Source organism: Homo sapiens, chromosome 11, assembly GCF_000001405.40.
Source record: "Homo sapiens chromosome 11, GRCh38.p14 Primary Assembly".
In the NCBI taxonomy this organism is placed as follows: domain Eukaryota; kingdom Metazoa; phylum Chordata; class Mammalia; order Primates; family Hominidae; genus Homo; species Homo sapiens.
Window position 1 is genome coordinate 28,722,709 of NC_000011.10, and position 16,039 is coordinate 28,738,747.

Below are 16,039 nucleotides of genomic sequence, written 5' to 3' on the forward strand. Positions count from 1 at the left end.
TTGAAACTAAGCATAAAAATGAACAATTTTTCTTGTATCTTTGGGTCTTCATTCTGAAGGCTCTTTTGTATACACATTAAATAAATTTGTGTGTCTTTTCTCCGTTTAATCAATCTGCCCCATGTAAGTGATTTTTTTCAGTGAATCTTTGGGGGAAAAAGGGTGTTGGCTCCTACAACTATCAAAAACTGCCCTATGTTCCTTCTAATTACATATTCTCTCATTACATTTTTTGATAACTAATTTTTGGCAGCATGTCTAATTATTTTCATTATTGTCTGTCTCTTGCTTTATACATTCAGCTTCAAGAAGGCAGAACATTTACCTACTTTGTTCACTGCTATTTTACTGTGTTCACCAAGTACAGAGCATGGAATGTGAGGCACACTTGATGACTGTATAGTACATAAATGAATGGACAATCACTTTGTTAGATGAACAAGTAAAATTTGGGGGGTTTAGCTCTTACAGAATGGGGGAAATTGAATAGTAAAACCAGAAAATACAATAATTCTTCCTCCAGGAACGCTACTCGTCTACTTCCTTGATTCCTCGTATGCAACTTTTAGATTCCCAGGAGACTTTTCCTGATCCTGGAAGTTGGGAACATGTGTCCCTTCCCTGCACTTTTCTATTACAGCAAACTTATCACTGATGCATGCATCATACATCTCTGAATTTTCTTGAATACTTACTGGAATATACATTTCATGAGGGTAGGCAACAGGATTATTGGAACAGAATAAGATTTCATTGCATACTTGCTAAATGAGTTTAAAGACTTAGTAAAATGGAAGAAATAGCTTCCATACATAATTATCTCAAATAATATCTTTCCTATCTTAAATTCAAACTACCCCTTTGGGACCATTTATGGAAGTGAATCTTTCTCCAACAATTCTTACATTACAAATCTCCATGTAAAAGCACAATACCTGAGAAACCAGAAAACTTATTGGAGTAAATTGTTGGGTCTTCTAATGAGGAAAGGATGTGTTGATTAGATTAAGAGACTTGAAATTAAAAACAGAATCTCCTTTTTAACAAAAAAATATTAAAAGTATTTCTAATTGGTACCTTGTTCCAGGCACTATATTAAGAACTTTATGCCTGAATTTTCATTTAATCCTTAAACCCTAAAGTAGATATTGTTATTAGTCCCACATGAAGAAATTACTGTTCAGAGAGATTAAATGACTCACCCAAGATCACAGGCCAACTGAATGACACAGCCTTGACTCCAATCTAGATCCATCTGACCCCAAAACCATCCTTCTCATCAATGCTATTCAAAACATTGGCTCTATGTCACATAATACCTAAGAGAAGTTATTTGATTCAACAAGTGTATGAAGTGTGCCTGCAAAGTCTTGAAGCAATAGAACACTCATGCCTCAAGAGGACATAGGGGGCCAAAAGTGGATTTAGAGTACCCAGTAACCTCTATATCTTCTGCATGGCTTCCTCAAGAGAGACAAAATCCAAGAGCATTAGGGCTAGAAGATGTCCTTATACGTCATCTTGTTCAATGCCTCCATTTTAGAGATGATGAAACTGAGGTTTGAAGGGTGATTTGACTTTCCCAAGGTCATCTACATAAGTTGTAGCAGAAATAGCCAAGGGCGTTCACTCCTGTTGAAATACACACAGAAAAAATAAGTAAATAAATAAAGGATTTGTTGGTAGCTTGAAATGAGCACAATTTAAAATAATTATCAAGCTGGCTTACACATAGCCATATATGTTTTATTAGATCTACCATTGGGAGTTACATGCTTGTGCTATAATTTAGTAGAAATGGCTATTAACTTCAGTGCATGCATTTGATAGTTTTTTGAAACCATTAAAAAATAAAGACTTATTTGACAGTGGCTCATGCTAAGATAGTTTATGAGCTGATCATATAAATGACAAAGTCATATTAAAGAACGATGCATAGATGTGCATGGGTAGTTTTATTGAATCGGTAATAGATACTTGGATCCTGCCATTATGTAATTTGTTATTTGACCTCTTCATTGGGAAAATTTAGTATCTGCCTAGTTAGTGAACTCACAGCTAATAGTAGATTCAAAATGATGGGAAAATCAGTATTTACTTAATTGAACTTTAGATTCTTATTAAGCCAAACGTGGAGCTGGCTTATAGTAGGTGCCTAAAGAATGATATTGCTTGCCCTCTTATAGGCTGTATTGAAAATAATTCAGATACAGATTCTCCACATTAGTTGAGGTGATAATTGAACTACAGAGAATATCTGAAAACCAAACACTAAGAGAAAAAATGATGTATAAGCTAAATAATTAACACTGTCATGATGTCAATCAACCAACCTGAATGATACTGCAGAGAATATTCCATCAGCTGGCTGCAAAGTTTGATCTAAAAGAGTCAACATTGTTCTTCCTCAAGTCTCTAATTTCACAGCAGACTAAAAATTACAATGCATGTTTTTCCTTTCAACATGCACCTTTCTGACGTTTATCCACTAAATGAGTTGTGGCTTTTCACTTAGTGAATGAAATGTCTTAACGTGGTGAATATATTTCAGGCTCTTTATTTACTGTATTGGAGTCCATTCGCTTTGCCAGCAATGGAGAATGCAGTCTGGATTACGTCTATGTCTCTAGACCATTGTGATTGTAACCTTCCATTGTGAATGAGGTAGTTTAGCCAGGGTCAAGAGATGCTTGTCTCATCTTCATCATCCTTTTTATAGCAATTAAGAAGTCCCTTAACTTCTCCACCCTTAGTGTCCTTAGGCATAAAATACAGATAATGACCTCAGGGGCATTAGGGAAAAAATAAGAATAATAGATATAGCTTACTGAGGATCTACCATGGGCCAGTGCCTGGGTTAGGGACTTTAAATTTATTATTTTTATATGTAATAATCACTAAAACTCTGGGCAGTAAGCATTATGGTTCTTATCTCATAGGGAAAGTAAAGCTTGAACACAAAGAGATTAAGTGCTTGCTTAACATCATTTGACAGAAACGTTTGAATTCAGGTCTCTTATTCCAGGGTAAATATTCTTAGGCACTACTCTATAGTAAGTATGCTGCCTCAGATAATATACACACAGAAATTGTTATAAAAATCAAATAATGGGGAGGGGAATTATTGAATGCCTTAATATACTAGCATCACAGAAGGTGTTTTCACAGGTTATCCTATTTAATCCTCACGACTCTGGAGATAGCTATATTCACACTTATTATTCACTTACGTTTTCTGTGATTTCAGTGTAGTTTTTTATTTTGCCAAGATAAAAACTAGAATACTGATGAAATCACACTAGGTGTGTAATGTGAAATTATGATATAAGAGAATCAGAATGACCTCTTTGGCAATTTCATGGGAACAATGATTCTTTGTGATATCCACGTCAGAAGTGTACTTGTGGACTTTGAGGAGTTTCTTTGGATATATGTTGGAAAAAGAGCAGGCTACAATAAAATAATCAAGGTTCAGCATGTCTTTTCTCTATAACAACATTTGTGATTACAGACATTTGCCTGATATAATTTTGGTTTTTACATAAATCTGAAGTGAGAGCTAAGAGGAAGACTGACTATACTATTGTTTTATTTGGAGAGGTGAGTTGCAAATTAAAAAATCCGCAAAGATATGAATATTTTAGATGGGAGCAACTTACTGATATAGTAGACTTGATAATCACTTATTTTGGTAAAAACAAATGGAATAAGTAGGAGAATAAATATGGATTGTGATAAATGGAACATTGTTACAGGTGTCTTTAAAGGAGTGGCAGAAATACTGCTATCATGGGATGGAAAGTACAGGGTGGTTTCCAGAAGATGAAAAAGGTGAATAAGCATGCAGACGATATCTTAGCCTACAATATTTATTAAAAAAATAAACATCAATTGGAATTCTAGTTCTCAAGTCTCATAAATATTTATATATGGGTGTGAGTGCATGTGCATGTGTGCTGAGAAAGATTTCAATACATTAATTCTTGTTCTTCCTAGATTCTTCTGTATTTCCCTTGTCAAATTAGCTTTTCCTTGAGAGAAACTGTTAATTCTAATTGATTTTGGCCAGATTGGCAAAGCTCTTTGAAATGCTTTCAATCAGTGACAACTTTTAAGACATTTTCTTGTACTTGTGAGAGATTAAAACTTTTTCCAAGCAATATTTCCCAATAGAGGTCCTTTCTGAATGCTTCTCTATACACACAAGATTGTTGGTCTTTTGAGGTCTGTACTGTCATCACCTGCCTCATTCATTTCTAGTCACAGGACAGCTCTCCAAAAACCCTTTCCCATCCTCTCCAGGCCTAGTCAAGCCTTTTGTTTTTTAGCTTCAGTGCCAGGCTCAGTTCCCTTTCTTGTTTTCCTTTCATGTGGTTGGTTCTTGCTGCCTCTGAACTCTTTTTGTATCTCTTGTTAGGCATCATTGCCTGTCTTTTCTAACTGCATTTTTACCTGGAAGTCATTGTGCTTTATTCACAAGCTGAGACCCATCCTATGAAACCTGCTGGGGTTTTCACTGAAAGATATTAAGCAAATCTTCACAGCTTGAATGGAGTATATCTCTTCCTGGCTAATATACTCCAGCCCTGAAGAAGGCTCAAAATAGGTGCGAGGTAGAAGAAACACCACCTTCTGTAGACTGATTCTGTTGCTAGTGGTGGAGCCATGCTCAGTAGCCTGAGAATGAATCCTTCTTTAAGTGCTGTTGGGAGAGCTGAGAAATACCCAACTGTGAATCAGCTTAATCAAGAGTACAAACACCAGAAAAGAACGAAAGTCCTCAATTGCACTTGGCTGGAGTACAGAGATCTCTGTAGTGATTTTGGTTTCCATCTAAACTTTTCCAACATTAAATGAAAAAAAAAAAAGTCTGGCTCAAAATGTTTTCAGGATTTATTGCTCATACACTGTACGGTGAACAAGAATGAGTTTTGCCTAACATGTTTGGTGAACGTATGTGGAAGGTCAGCTGTTGCTGTGACTTGGTGTACCCTGAGTTCTCTAAAACAAAGAGAAGTATCTGTTCTCTAAAGCAAATTGTTCCCAGACTTACTGTGTGCTATGATTTGATTTTTAAATGCCAAAAAATGAAAAACAAACAAACAAAACAAAACTGCAGAATGCACAAACTTAGTAACCTTTATGTAGGGAAATATTCAGATGAAGAAGTAATTCTAATTAGAGACTAAGATATGAGAAAGAAGTGGTATATTAATTAGTCTGTGGTTTTATATTGATATGGAGCTATCATTATGGAACTTCATTATTTTATTTAAGCTTAGAAAATGTTGCTCTGGACAAAGCAGGAATAATGTTGTAGTATAGACTCCCCAGCCTTCATGAATTCTTGATTCTCTATTATGTAACATAGGACCTCAGAGCTGATCCCATGTATACCTCATCCTTCATTCCTTAACCCTCCAGCAAAGCCACTGGCTTCAGAGTGATATGACAGATGATCTGCTGTGTAAAATTGATAACTGCAGGCCAGGCCTGGTGGCTCACGTCTGTAATCCCAGCACTTTGGGAGGCCGAGGCAGGTGGATTATTTAAGGCCAGGAGTTCCAGACCAGCCTGGCCAACATGGCAAAACCCCATCTCTATTAAAAATAGAAAAAATTAGCTAGGTGTGGTGGCACCTACCTGTAGTCTCAGCTACTGGTGAGGCTGAGGCACGAGAATTGTTTGAACCCTGGAGGTGAAGATTGCAGTGAGCCAAGAGCATGTCATTGCACTCCAGCGTGGATGACAGAGTGAGACTCTGTCTCAAAAAAAAAAAAAAAAGGATAACTATGCCTTGAATAGTGGGTAGAAAGGCTATCTTAAGACAATAGGTAGTAGAATAGGAGAAGGAGGCATTAAAGGAAAGTTTATTCTAGAGAAGGAGCTTTTAAAGAGATAACAACAGTATAGACCTGAGATAAGATAAGCCAACAAAAATATCTCAGTATTAGGATGATATATTAGGATACTGAGATGAGTGAGGGATGTGACAGCTGCATGCACAGAAGGGGATAAGCAAGGTGGGCATGGAGGCCTGAGTGTCTGTGTGCCTAGTTATGCTCACATGGAGAGATGGAAGACTGGTAGAAAACCAAATGCAGTGACACTAACACACTGAGTTCTGAGTCTTAATTATTGATTTAGTATATTTGGGGAATCCCTTGCCAGGGGAATAGCTGCCAGTAAAAGTTGCGTCAGATATTAGATAGAAAAAGAAAGCTAATTTTTATTTAAAAACATTACCTTAAACATACAGGGCTCTGGAATCAGATTTCAGCTTACCTCTTCCCAGAATTCTGACTACCTCTTCATGATAGCAGCAGGAGGCAGTCAAATGCCTAGGCAGATAGGGGTGGGTCCCTGGTGAAACCCAACCTTCAAACCAAAAACAGTTTAAAGCCTGAAGGCCAAGCTACAAGTCCTGGGTAAATCCACAGACTGTGTTGAGAACCTCTCTTCCTGTTTAGCATGCTTTCCTCTGATTGATCCTCACCCTTCACCTATTTTACATATACCTACCCTTCCCTAATTGTTTTTGTTACACTATCATGCCCACCTTTGAATGATGCCTTTGTTTTAGACTTTTTTTGCATACTCACAAACCAATCAGCATGCATTCCCCCATTATGAACCCATAAAAGCCCCAGACCCAGCCACACTTGGAGGGAGACCACCTTCATGTCCCCTCTCCACTGAGAGCTGTTCTATCACTCAATAAAATTATTCTCTGCCCTCTTCACCTTTCAATTGTCAGCATAACCTCATTCTTCTTGGACGTGGGCCAAACTTGGGAACCGCCAAATGTGGGTATGAGTTGTAACACCTGTGGGCCAGTGCACAAGCCAAATGCAGCCCAGCAGGCCAAGTGGACAGGGTGCCTCCTGTGGCAGGCCTGGGTCCGACCAAGGCCCAGGCGAGGATGTTGCTGGCCACAGAAGTCCCCAGCTTGCAAAGTGACCAAGAAAAATCCTGCGTCGTTCATTTATAAGAAAACCCACTTGACAGGGTTTTGGGGAGGATTATATAAGTTATTGATGTTTAAGCCCTTTATATGCCCAATGTATGTTAAAGGGGCATGTTTTATAATTGTCAGTTTAAAATTATTTTATTGGTTTTCCAAGAACTTCTGTTCAGTTAGTTTTGTGCACCATTCCAATAGAAAGGGTGAAAAGTTACCAGAGGAGAGTGGTCACATCATTCATTCATTTTGGTTTCAGGAAAAGGTTACATGTAAAAATATATTTTATTGGCAGTTGTCTTGACATCTAATCTTTGTTTCTTAGGTCATCTACCATGGACATTGCTCCTATACAACTTGACCAGGGTGTTGTATAGATACCCTCTTTGCTAGAGGGTTCATAGGGTTTAAGTTAGTCACCAGGCTGTTTGGAATAAAACAATTTGAATCCATATTGATGAATAACATCCAAAGCTTCATTGGAGTTTTATCTAACCTTTATTGATTCTGTCTCTCCAAAGTTTAAAGTTTAGATCTCCTGGTTCTCATTTTCTTAAAAATTATAGCCTGACTTGTCAATCTGCTTTCCATCACCTTTATAGTTATGTTTCTAGGAATTTCTTTGATTGGGCTGCTGACTCTTAAACTTTTCTGTAAGGCAAAAGTTTAGCAGACATGCTAAATTGACCTAATAAAGAACGTTATACCTTGAATAAATACACATAGTATGCAATTGAATATCTCCTACCAACTGATGAGGGTATATTTCATCATTCTTTTCACTTATCATTTGTTAGCCTCCGGGCATATTTAAAAGAAGATCCTCATCAGCCCTGATGAATGCTGGTATTTGGCCAGCTCTACAACTTCAGAACAAAGTGGAGGAATGACTCAATTATCCCTGCTCATGCCCGAATTATCTGTGTAATTGGGACAGAGAAGTGCAAGCAAAGAATATTGCCTATTGCTATTTTTAAGCTCTGCTCCTGCTGCATTGTTCTTCTTATGTTTCACTAGTGCTGTCACTGGCTTTAAATATTTTACATATCATAATTAATGATTTGGTTGCAACCTGAGGCTTTCTTAGCAAAGGGCACAATTTTGCAAATAATTACATAGGTGATATCATTTATGAATAGAAAATGAACAGCTACATCATCAGTGTGTTTCCAGTTCTGCATATTTAAATAGCATGTTGTCATTCATGAGTGATAGTTGTAAGGGGGCTATTATTGTCGAAAGCTCAGGTATGTGTGGGAAGGAAATGAGCATTAATAGGATGATAATTGATCTTTAATGATATAAAGAGAGAATGGTCTACTTAACCTCCAGAGTGCTTAACGGTAAAGGGGAAACATATTCAACTAGATCTTCATGCACAAGCATGAGGCTTTATGCTCCCTGGGTTGTATTTTGGTTTTGGTTTTGTTTTTTCCTTTTAAATAGAAAGTGGAACTCTAGCCCTTAAAAGGCAAAACAAAATACAATTCAATCAAAGCCCAGACTTTAGAAAACCTGTGGTACCATACTTTCATGTCATGCATTTTATAATGATAAATAGTAGGTGTTTCCAATTTTAGTGAACTCTCCTGTTTACTAAGTAATAGTTTACATTCATTTAAAGTTAGATGTCTGCTATTGAAGGGAAAACCTGTTTTAATACTCAATCTAAACGGGCACTTCCACAACCAAAGACAACTTGGCTATAAATAGATAGTCATGATGTTATTGCAGCTGAGGAGATTTCATCCCATTAGAAACTTCACTCAGAAATGTAGAGGAGTGCTTAATAATGAATGAATGAATGTGATTTAAGGCCGCTTTATAGTGATGACACTTTTCCTATAAATATTACAGAGACGTTTAAATTTTTATCTCCCGTAATTCTAATGAATGAATTTTCCTGACCCTTACTGAAAATGATACCTGTAAAGTCTGCAATTTACTGATGATTGCTTGGCCTATTAAAGAAACTTGGGTTTCCAAACATTTTCATTTCATTCATAGATTCCTGTAATGCCTTTGGAACCAAAGTTCAAAGAATTGCTTCCAGCATTAACCATTGGAAAAATGTTTTAGTTTCTTTAACAACTAACTAACTTCATTAACACATTAAAAGCCCAACTGAAGTGGAAATGTGGGGACATGGATGAAGCCACTTTCCTGTGGGTGGTGTGCTAGGAAAATAAACAATAAAAGGAAGGAGAATGGTGCTGCTGTTGCTGTACTTTACATGGGTGCGTTCAACCCATTTCCATTTGCAAAACGAGTAAAATACTATTGCATTCCAACTTGATAAAGCATAAAGACTAAAGGACTGGGAGCCAGAAGTCTTGTTATAATTACTTTCAGTGTTAAAGTGTTGATACTAAGTAATAACTATGTACTAACACTAATTAAGTTCTATCAAATACAAGAGAAGGCTATCCTACAGTGATCTAGAATTATCAAAATTTCCAGAAAACTGTAGCTTAACTTTTCCAGCAACAGAGTTTGATTTATTTACCAATTTCTTTTGATGAAAAACTGTCTAAATTGCCAATAATTCCACCTACATGGCCTAGGTAGAATGAATATCAAACACATTTAATTTATTCAATTAACAATTTTTGAAAATCTACTATGATTTGACCACTGTACTAGGGGATAAGGATGTGCTATTTCAAAGAGTGTATCTGCAAAGTTCACAAGAATATGAGCATACAAACTACTATGAGAATATAGTAGGGAGAGATGAACTGGGACGCTTTCCAGCCATAATGCTGGACTGAATATTAAGGGATGAGTTCTTTCTTATTCATGGAAGAAAATACATTTCAGGCAGAGAGCAAGTATTGGAAGCATCCATAAATAGGGAACAAAATTTAACTTTTCTGATAACATGTGTTCTTGGTTCATACTTTTCCTCCTCCTCACCCTCATATTTAATTGGTCACTGTAAATTTGATTCCTCCCACCCCACCATATCTCATGAAACTCAACTCTTTTTCTCATATTTGCCCTACTACGACTGCCTTAGTTCAGGTTCTCATTGTTCTTCCGTGGACTATTATTACAGTAGCCTTCCTGCCTCCTGCCTTGCCTTCCATCCTATTATCCACACTGTTCTCAGAATAAGTTTCTTGAAACACATACCCAACCCCATGGCTCCCGTCTTTTGGCTCCACCAACTCCTGGAGGAAACCCAGACCCCAAGCACTATTCAGAACCTTTTTTCCTGTCACATTTTCATGTCCATACTTCTCCTTTCCTCAACTCACTGATTTGCTTACAATTTTCCAAACATTTTATGCTTTTTTTGGTCTCCCTGCTTTTACACATGCTCTTTTCTATGCCCGAAACCACCCTTCATCTCTTGGCCCTCGGCCCAAACTCTACATGTCTTTTAAGACACATATCAAGTATTCTCTCCCCATAAAAGCAGTTCCTGACTCTCCCTGCTTCACTTAGAGGATCCTCCTTTGTTTTCTCATAATATACATTCTTCTCGTCTAGTCTGTATTTCAAAATTAATAGTTTGTGTGTGTGTGTGTGTGTGTGTGTGTGTGTGTGTCTTGCTAAAAAATAAGCATCCTGAGGGCAGGAACTATGTTTTATCTCTTCATATATGACTCCTAACACTATACTCTGCATAACAGAAATTATCGAGAGATGAATGAATTAATGAGGTACTTCTATTTCCCAGGATTGCAATGTGTTCACTATTCTTATATACTGATATCACATATTATAGAAAAATTCAGTCATCTTGAAGTTCTCTTGTAAATTTTGGTACATCCATTGCCTAGGATGAGTCCCTTAGAGTCCCTGGCTCATAGACTCTGATCCATCAATACTTGTTGTTGCTTGAATGAATGAAGGAATCTAGTGTTATGGGTTGAATTGTATCCCTCCAAAAGATGTTGAATCTTACATCTGTAGTAGCTCTGCCTTATTTCCTTATTTGGAAATAAGTTCTTTGCAGATGACCAAGTAAAGATGAAGTCAGTAGTGGGAGTCTTACTCCAATATGACTGCATCCTTATGGAAAGTGGATATTTGGACACAGAAAGAAACACAGGGAGAATGCCATGTGAAGATTGAAGTGATGCTGCCACAAACCAAGGAATGACAAATATTGCTAGAAAATAAATGAAAGCTCAGAGAAAGGAATGGAGCAGATTCTCTCTTGTAGCCCTCAGAAGGATCCAACCCTACCAACATCTTGTTCTTGGGCTTCCAGCCTACAGAGCTTTGAGACAATAAATTTCTGTCATTCTAAGCCATTCAGTTTGTGGTACTTTGTTATGGAAGCTCTAGGAAACTAACATACCTAGAAGTAAAGGTTTAGGTATTTTCAGCACATCCAGGGACTAGTATGAATCTGTAGGAAGACTGCAGTGGCTATTAATGAAAATTGTGGATGTAGTGAAGGCAGAAGTTTAAGATTCACTGTCAACCATGGCTAGTGAGAGATTTTTTGTGGGTGTTGGGAAAAAGATACAGATTCTTGTGTTAAGGAGTGTTGGGGAAATCTGTATTTTACAGTTCAGAAATAGATTCTTAGATGACTGATCGAAGCATGTGTAGTTTTACAAAAACCACCCCAGGTGATTTGGGTGTACACCCAAGTGAGTGACTGGGAAGTAATGACCTTCTCCTTTGCCACCTCAGGCTGGCTCAAGCAGGGTTGCACTGCCTCCGTCTGGGTTACCTTTTCTTCTCTGTGTGCATTTCACTAATGGTCAGATTGCAGCGAGTGTGAGACAGGACCCCCTCGTTCATTTTCGGATGAGGCTCTGCTCACTGATGATAAACCTGTTTAATTTTACAATTGCAACCTTTTCTCATTTTCAGTTTGGCTTTCTTCCTATTTTTCAAAATTCACATATAGTACTCAGTCTTGATAAAACTTCTGCAGTTTCTCTCTGAGGTTGGGCTTTCCCATCATATTTATTTAAGGAAACAACCCTTTCTCTATCCCCCTACCTGACACACCCCACGAATCTTGCATTCTCTGTTTTTCTACCTGGCTCTCAAGCATTGCTCCCTGTATCAGAACAGCTGGACTCAAACATTGCCAAGACTAGTTAAACATAAGTCTTTCCAGGTTAACTATTGATTTATTATCTGATTGAATGTTTTGCCCTTTTGAATTTAAAGTAAATCAGGATCTCAAGAGAATCAGAGGGAAAGGGCATAGGGTTAAATGGTTGTTTCACAAACATTCAAAGAGGAAAGATACTTTCAGAACCAGGCTAATGTACATTGCTTATGAAGAAATACAGAGATTCTAGTATTTTTTTAAATTAATAAATATAAAAGCAAAATGGGACCAAGAGATTTGAATTTAGTGTACATAAAATGAAAGAGCTCGTAGAACTTCCTCTGCATTTAAAGCAATCAGCTAGAGCACAACCTAAGTGGAAATGGATATGTTTGAAAAAATCTATATGCTCGTTGCCGAATGGTATGTTTGAGAGACTTGCTAAGTGCTTACATTAATACATCCTGAAGTACTTTCTAATCAAACATATTATTGCATTACTTTCCATACTGCTGTAAGTTGGAAAGTTTTCTCATATGTTAGTGGTTTTTAAAATCACATATTAAGTCCTCATTGCAGATTCAATTCATCATCTCCCATTATTCTAAAATGTTGTGTTAGTTTTCGCTAAGCTTTGTGGCTGGCCATTGTTATGCCTCAACATACCAGGCTGTCAGTTTGGAGATGGTGCATCTGCTGTCCTTGTTGTGCAAATCGGGTAGTGTTTTTTCCACAATTAGACCAGTGGCTGTTGGTGTGTGTGTTGGAGGAGAGGATACTTGCAGTGATGACAAGTGGGAAAAATTTATTCTGTGGAAGCTCAAATCATTTTGGTGAAGCCAAGTTCAAGGCCCATCCAACATATGTCTATAGCAACTTGTGGCTGAAATTTTACACCTGCTTATATTATACATGAATTGGGCCTGGTATCATGTGAATTGTTGTTGGTGAAACTTGAAACTATGTAAAAATTATCTGGTTTCAGCTCTGGTTTCCAAAGACTCACACAATAATGATAGAGTGTGCAGGTGAACCTGGGCGCATTTGTATAGTTCTACTGGCTTAAACCCAGGGGACTGTTAGTGAGTTAAAGCTGTGAAACAGGCAGGAGAAGTGGTCATACATTTCTAGGGGAAAGTGTAACAAGGATCAGAGATACATTCAAATGAAAGAAGCTGGTAAAGCCAAATCTTTCCTGGAGAACACCAAGAGTGCAGGCATTGCCTCTGCCCCTCATCCACCACTTATACTTTGAAACTTTCTATTATTCCTTCCAGATTCAATTCAAATATCACCTTCTCTGTGAAACTTTCCTTGACCCCACTGATCAGCACTAGACGATTCTATCCTCTGTGCTTCTCAAATACTTTATTTCCCTCTATTCTAAATGTAAGTACATTTTCTGGCAATTTTGTTTATTTCTTTTTTCCCCTCCCCTTGCCAACTCTGAACTCTAAAACACAGAAACTATTATATTTATTCGTTGTTGTGTTCCTAGTAGTTAGCATAGTGCCTAGCCTGTAATAACCAATCAATATTTGTTGCATGAATACATGACAGAATTGGTTGACTATGTGTCATCATTTTTGTTTTGCTGTTTAAGAAGTGTATGTAAGCAGAATGTCAAGCCATAAAAAGGTGCAGGGATTACTAAGAAATTGGTCTACTGTTGTAAATAAACTCTTGCATCTTCTAGTGGGGGGTAAATGTGGGAAAGAACTAAGGAGACCAAAGCCTAAGCTAAAGCAAAGAGTACTTAGAGCCAAGGCTTCAGAAAACAGAGGCAGAGTCATGAAGGACTGGGTATTGGTTTATCTGCACTAGGGTTAAGCAAGAAGAAAGAAATGAAAATGAAACAAAAAAAGAAAGAAGAATTTAGCTAGATATAAAAAAGCTGTTATGTTTGTTTATAAGTGACTAAGTGACATTGTAATACTTTCCTGCTTCAACCTTCATCTAACGAATGTTAAAAAAATGACTAAAATTTCAGGACCAATTATACCTTTTTACAGCTTAAAACCCCTCACTGTCACTGGATATTACTTCTTCTTATTCTTTTTTTTTTTTTTTTTTTTTTTGATGGAGTCTTGCTCTGTCTCCCAGGCTGGAGTGCAGTGGCACTATCTCAGCTCACTGCAACCTCCGCCTCCTGGGTTCAAGCAATTCTCCTGCCTCAGCCTCCCGAGTAGCTGGGATTACAGGCACGTGCCACCACGCCTGGCTAATTTTTGTATTTTTAGTAGAGATGAGGTTTCACCATGTTGGTCAGGCTGGTCGCAAACTCCTGACCTCAAGTGATCTGCCCACCTCGGCCTCCCAAAGTGCTGGGATTATAGGCTTGAGCCACTGTGCCAGGCCTGGATATTACCTCTAGTATTATTTTCTAAACTTGCCCAAGAGTAATAATTCCCTAGGACATGAATAAACAATGGAGATCCCAATACATCTTCTGAATGAGAGTCTTGGGAGGTAGAGGCTGGGAATCTGCTTTTTAATAAAACATTTGGTGATTCTTATCAAGTTTGAATTTATCTTCAGGATGAAGGTGCTTTTCCTTAGAAAAGCAAGTCTACTCCCTGGCTCTGGCCTCATTTGCTATGCTTTCCCATTATGTTCTAGTACTAATAGCAAACAGTTTCAGATCTCCATTTCCTTCCAAATGCTGTCATCTTTACTTAAATTCTATTCACACTTCAAAACCAACCTCAAATGATACTTCCTCTGAAAAGCCTGTTTGCACCCTCCTCCAAAAAGTACTGGACTTTATCGTATCACATTGTCTTTTCTGACCTTCATTTATGTTTCCTTTATAGCAGCATCTTCTTAAGATTAGCAAACATGTCTAATTTATTTATGTTATGTGTCCAAGACCTAGCTTAATGCCTGGCACATAACAGACATTCAAGAAATCCATCCATCCACTCATTTATTCATTCATATATTTAATTATTCATTTAATATATATTGCTTGACTTCTTGTTATGTGCTAGATATCTCTAACCTACATACCTTTAACCCTTTGTTAAAAGCTGTCTCAAATGATGCTCCTCTGTGATGATTATCTGGATGGCTTCAGCCTTGCCAGGACTCTCTCATCTTTATAAGCTTTCATAATGACCACATCCTATATTTTTCCCTCTCTCTCTTTTTCTCTTTTTGTAAATGTCCATTTGATTAGCATGAAAATGATTTGTAAGCAGGGACAACAGTTTAGATTTTATTTGCATAAAATACTGTAGAATACAGTGGCATGTTTGGAGTCGGCTATATCTATAATTATATATTTTTTACATATCTGTAGTAAATATGTCACAATGCTAATGTTTTTTAAGTGTCAGTGATGGGTACACAGGAGTCTGTGATGTAAGTTTCTGAGGCTTGAAATAGCTAATAATTTTAAAATATTACAATATTTTAGGTCCAGAATTCTTGGCCTGAGAATCATTTACCCTTTAGTTCAGGAATTTAATAAACTCCCTGAAATTATATATAATTATTAAAGTATGTTTATTTTTTGGAGAGTGAAAGCTCATAACTTCAAGTACATTTTCAAAGAGTTCTATGACCTCACATCATTTAAGAGCAATTCTTCTGGACATGTAGTAATAATGGCAGAATAATTTATTTGTGGAGAAATGTATAATTTACAAAGAACTTTCTCATGCATTAGGCTTTTCATTCCTCACAGCAGCCCTGAGAAGCAGCCATGGCAGGCATTCTTAACTATTGATCAAATAAGGAAACTAACACTTGGATAGGTTAAGAGCCTCCACTGGAGCTTATGTCTCACAGCTCCAGAGCTGGAGCTCTTTCTGCTATTTGCACCAAATGGCTTCTTTCCATAAATACTGGTTTGCTTAATCTTCTTTGGACATATGGAGTAGGTTAAGCTCCTGCCAGCAGCAGACAGGCAGGTAAAACTTAAATTACCCTTTATACTTAATGAATGAGGTGAGTTACTTTCATCTCTCAGTCATTAGTCATCAGTGTCCTGCTTGTGTATAAAAGGAATTTCCTTCTCACTCCTTTATCCTAAATACAGATTAATTAGG

At 37.3% G+C, this 16,039-nt stretch overlaps 1 annotated feature.

Annotated features, from left to right (window-relative positions):
• Positions 14,105-14,259: a silencer, noted in NCBI's record as "fragment chr11:28758360-28758514 (GRCh37/hg19 assembly coordinates)". NCBI's record gives its function as "represses an EF-1alpha promoter that drives an FKBP-Casp9 reporter gene in an ReSE screen in HepG2 liver carcinoma cells {active_cell/tissue: HepG2}" and the evidence as "EXISTENCE:reporter gene assay evidence [ECO:0000049][PMID:32094911]".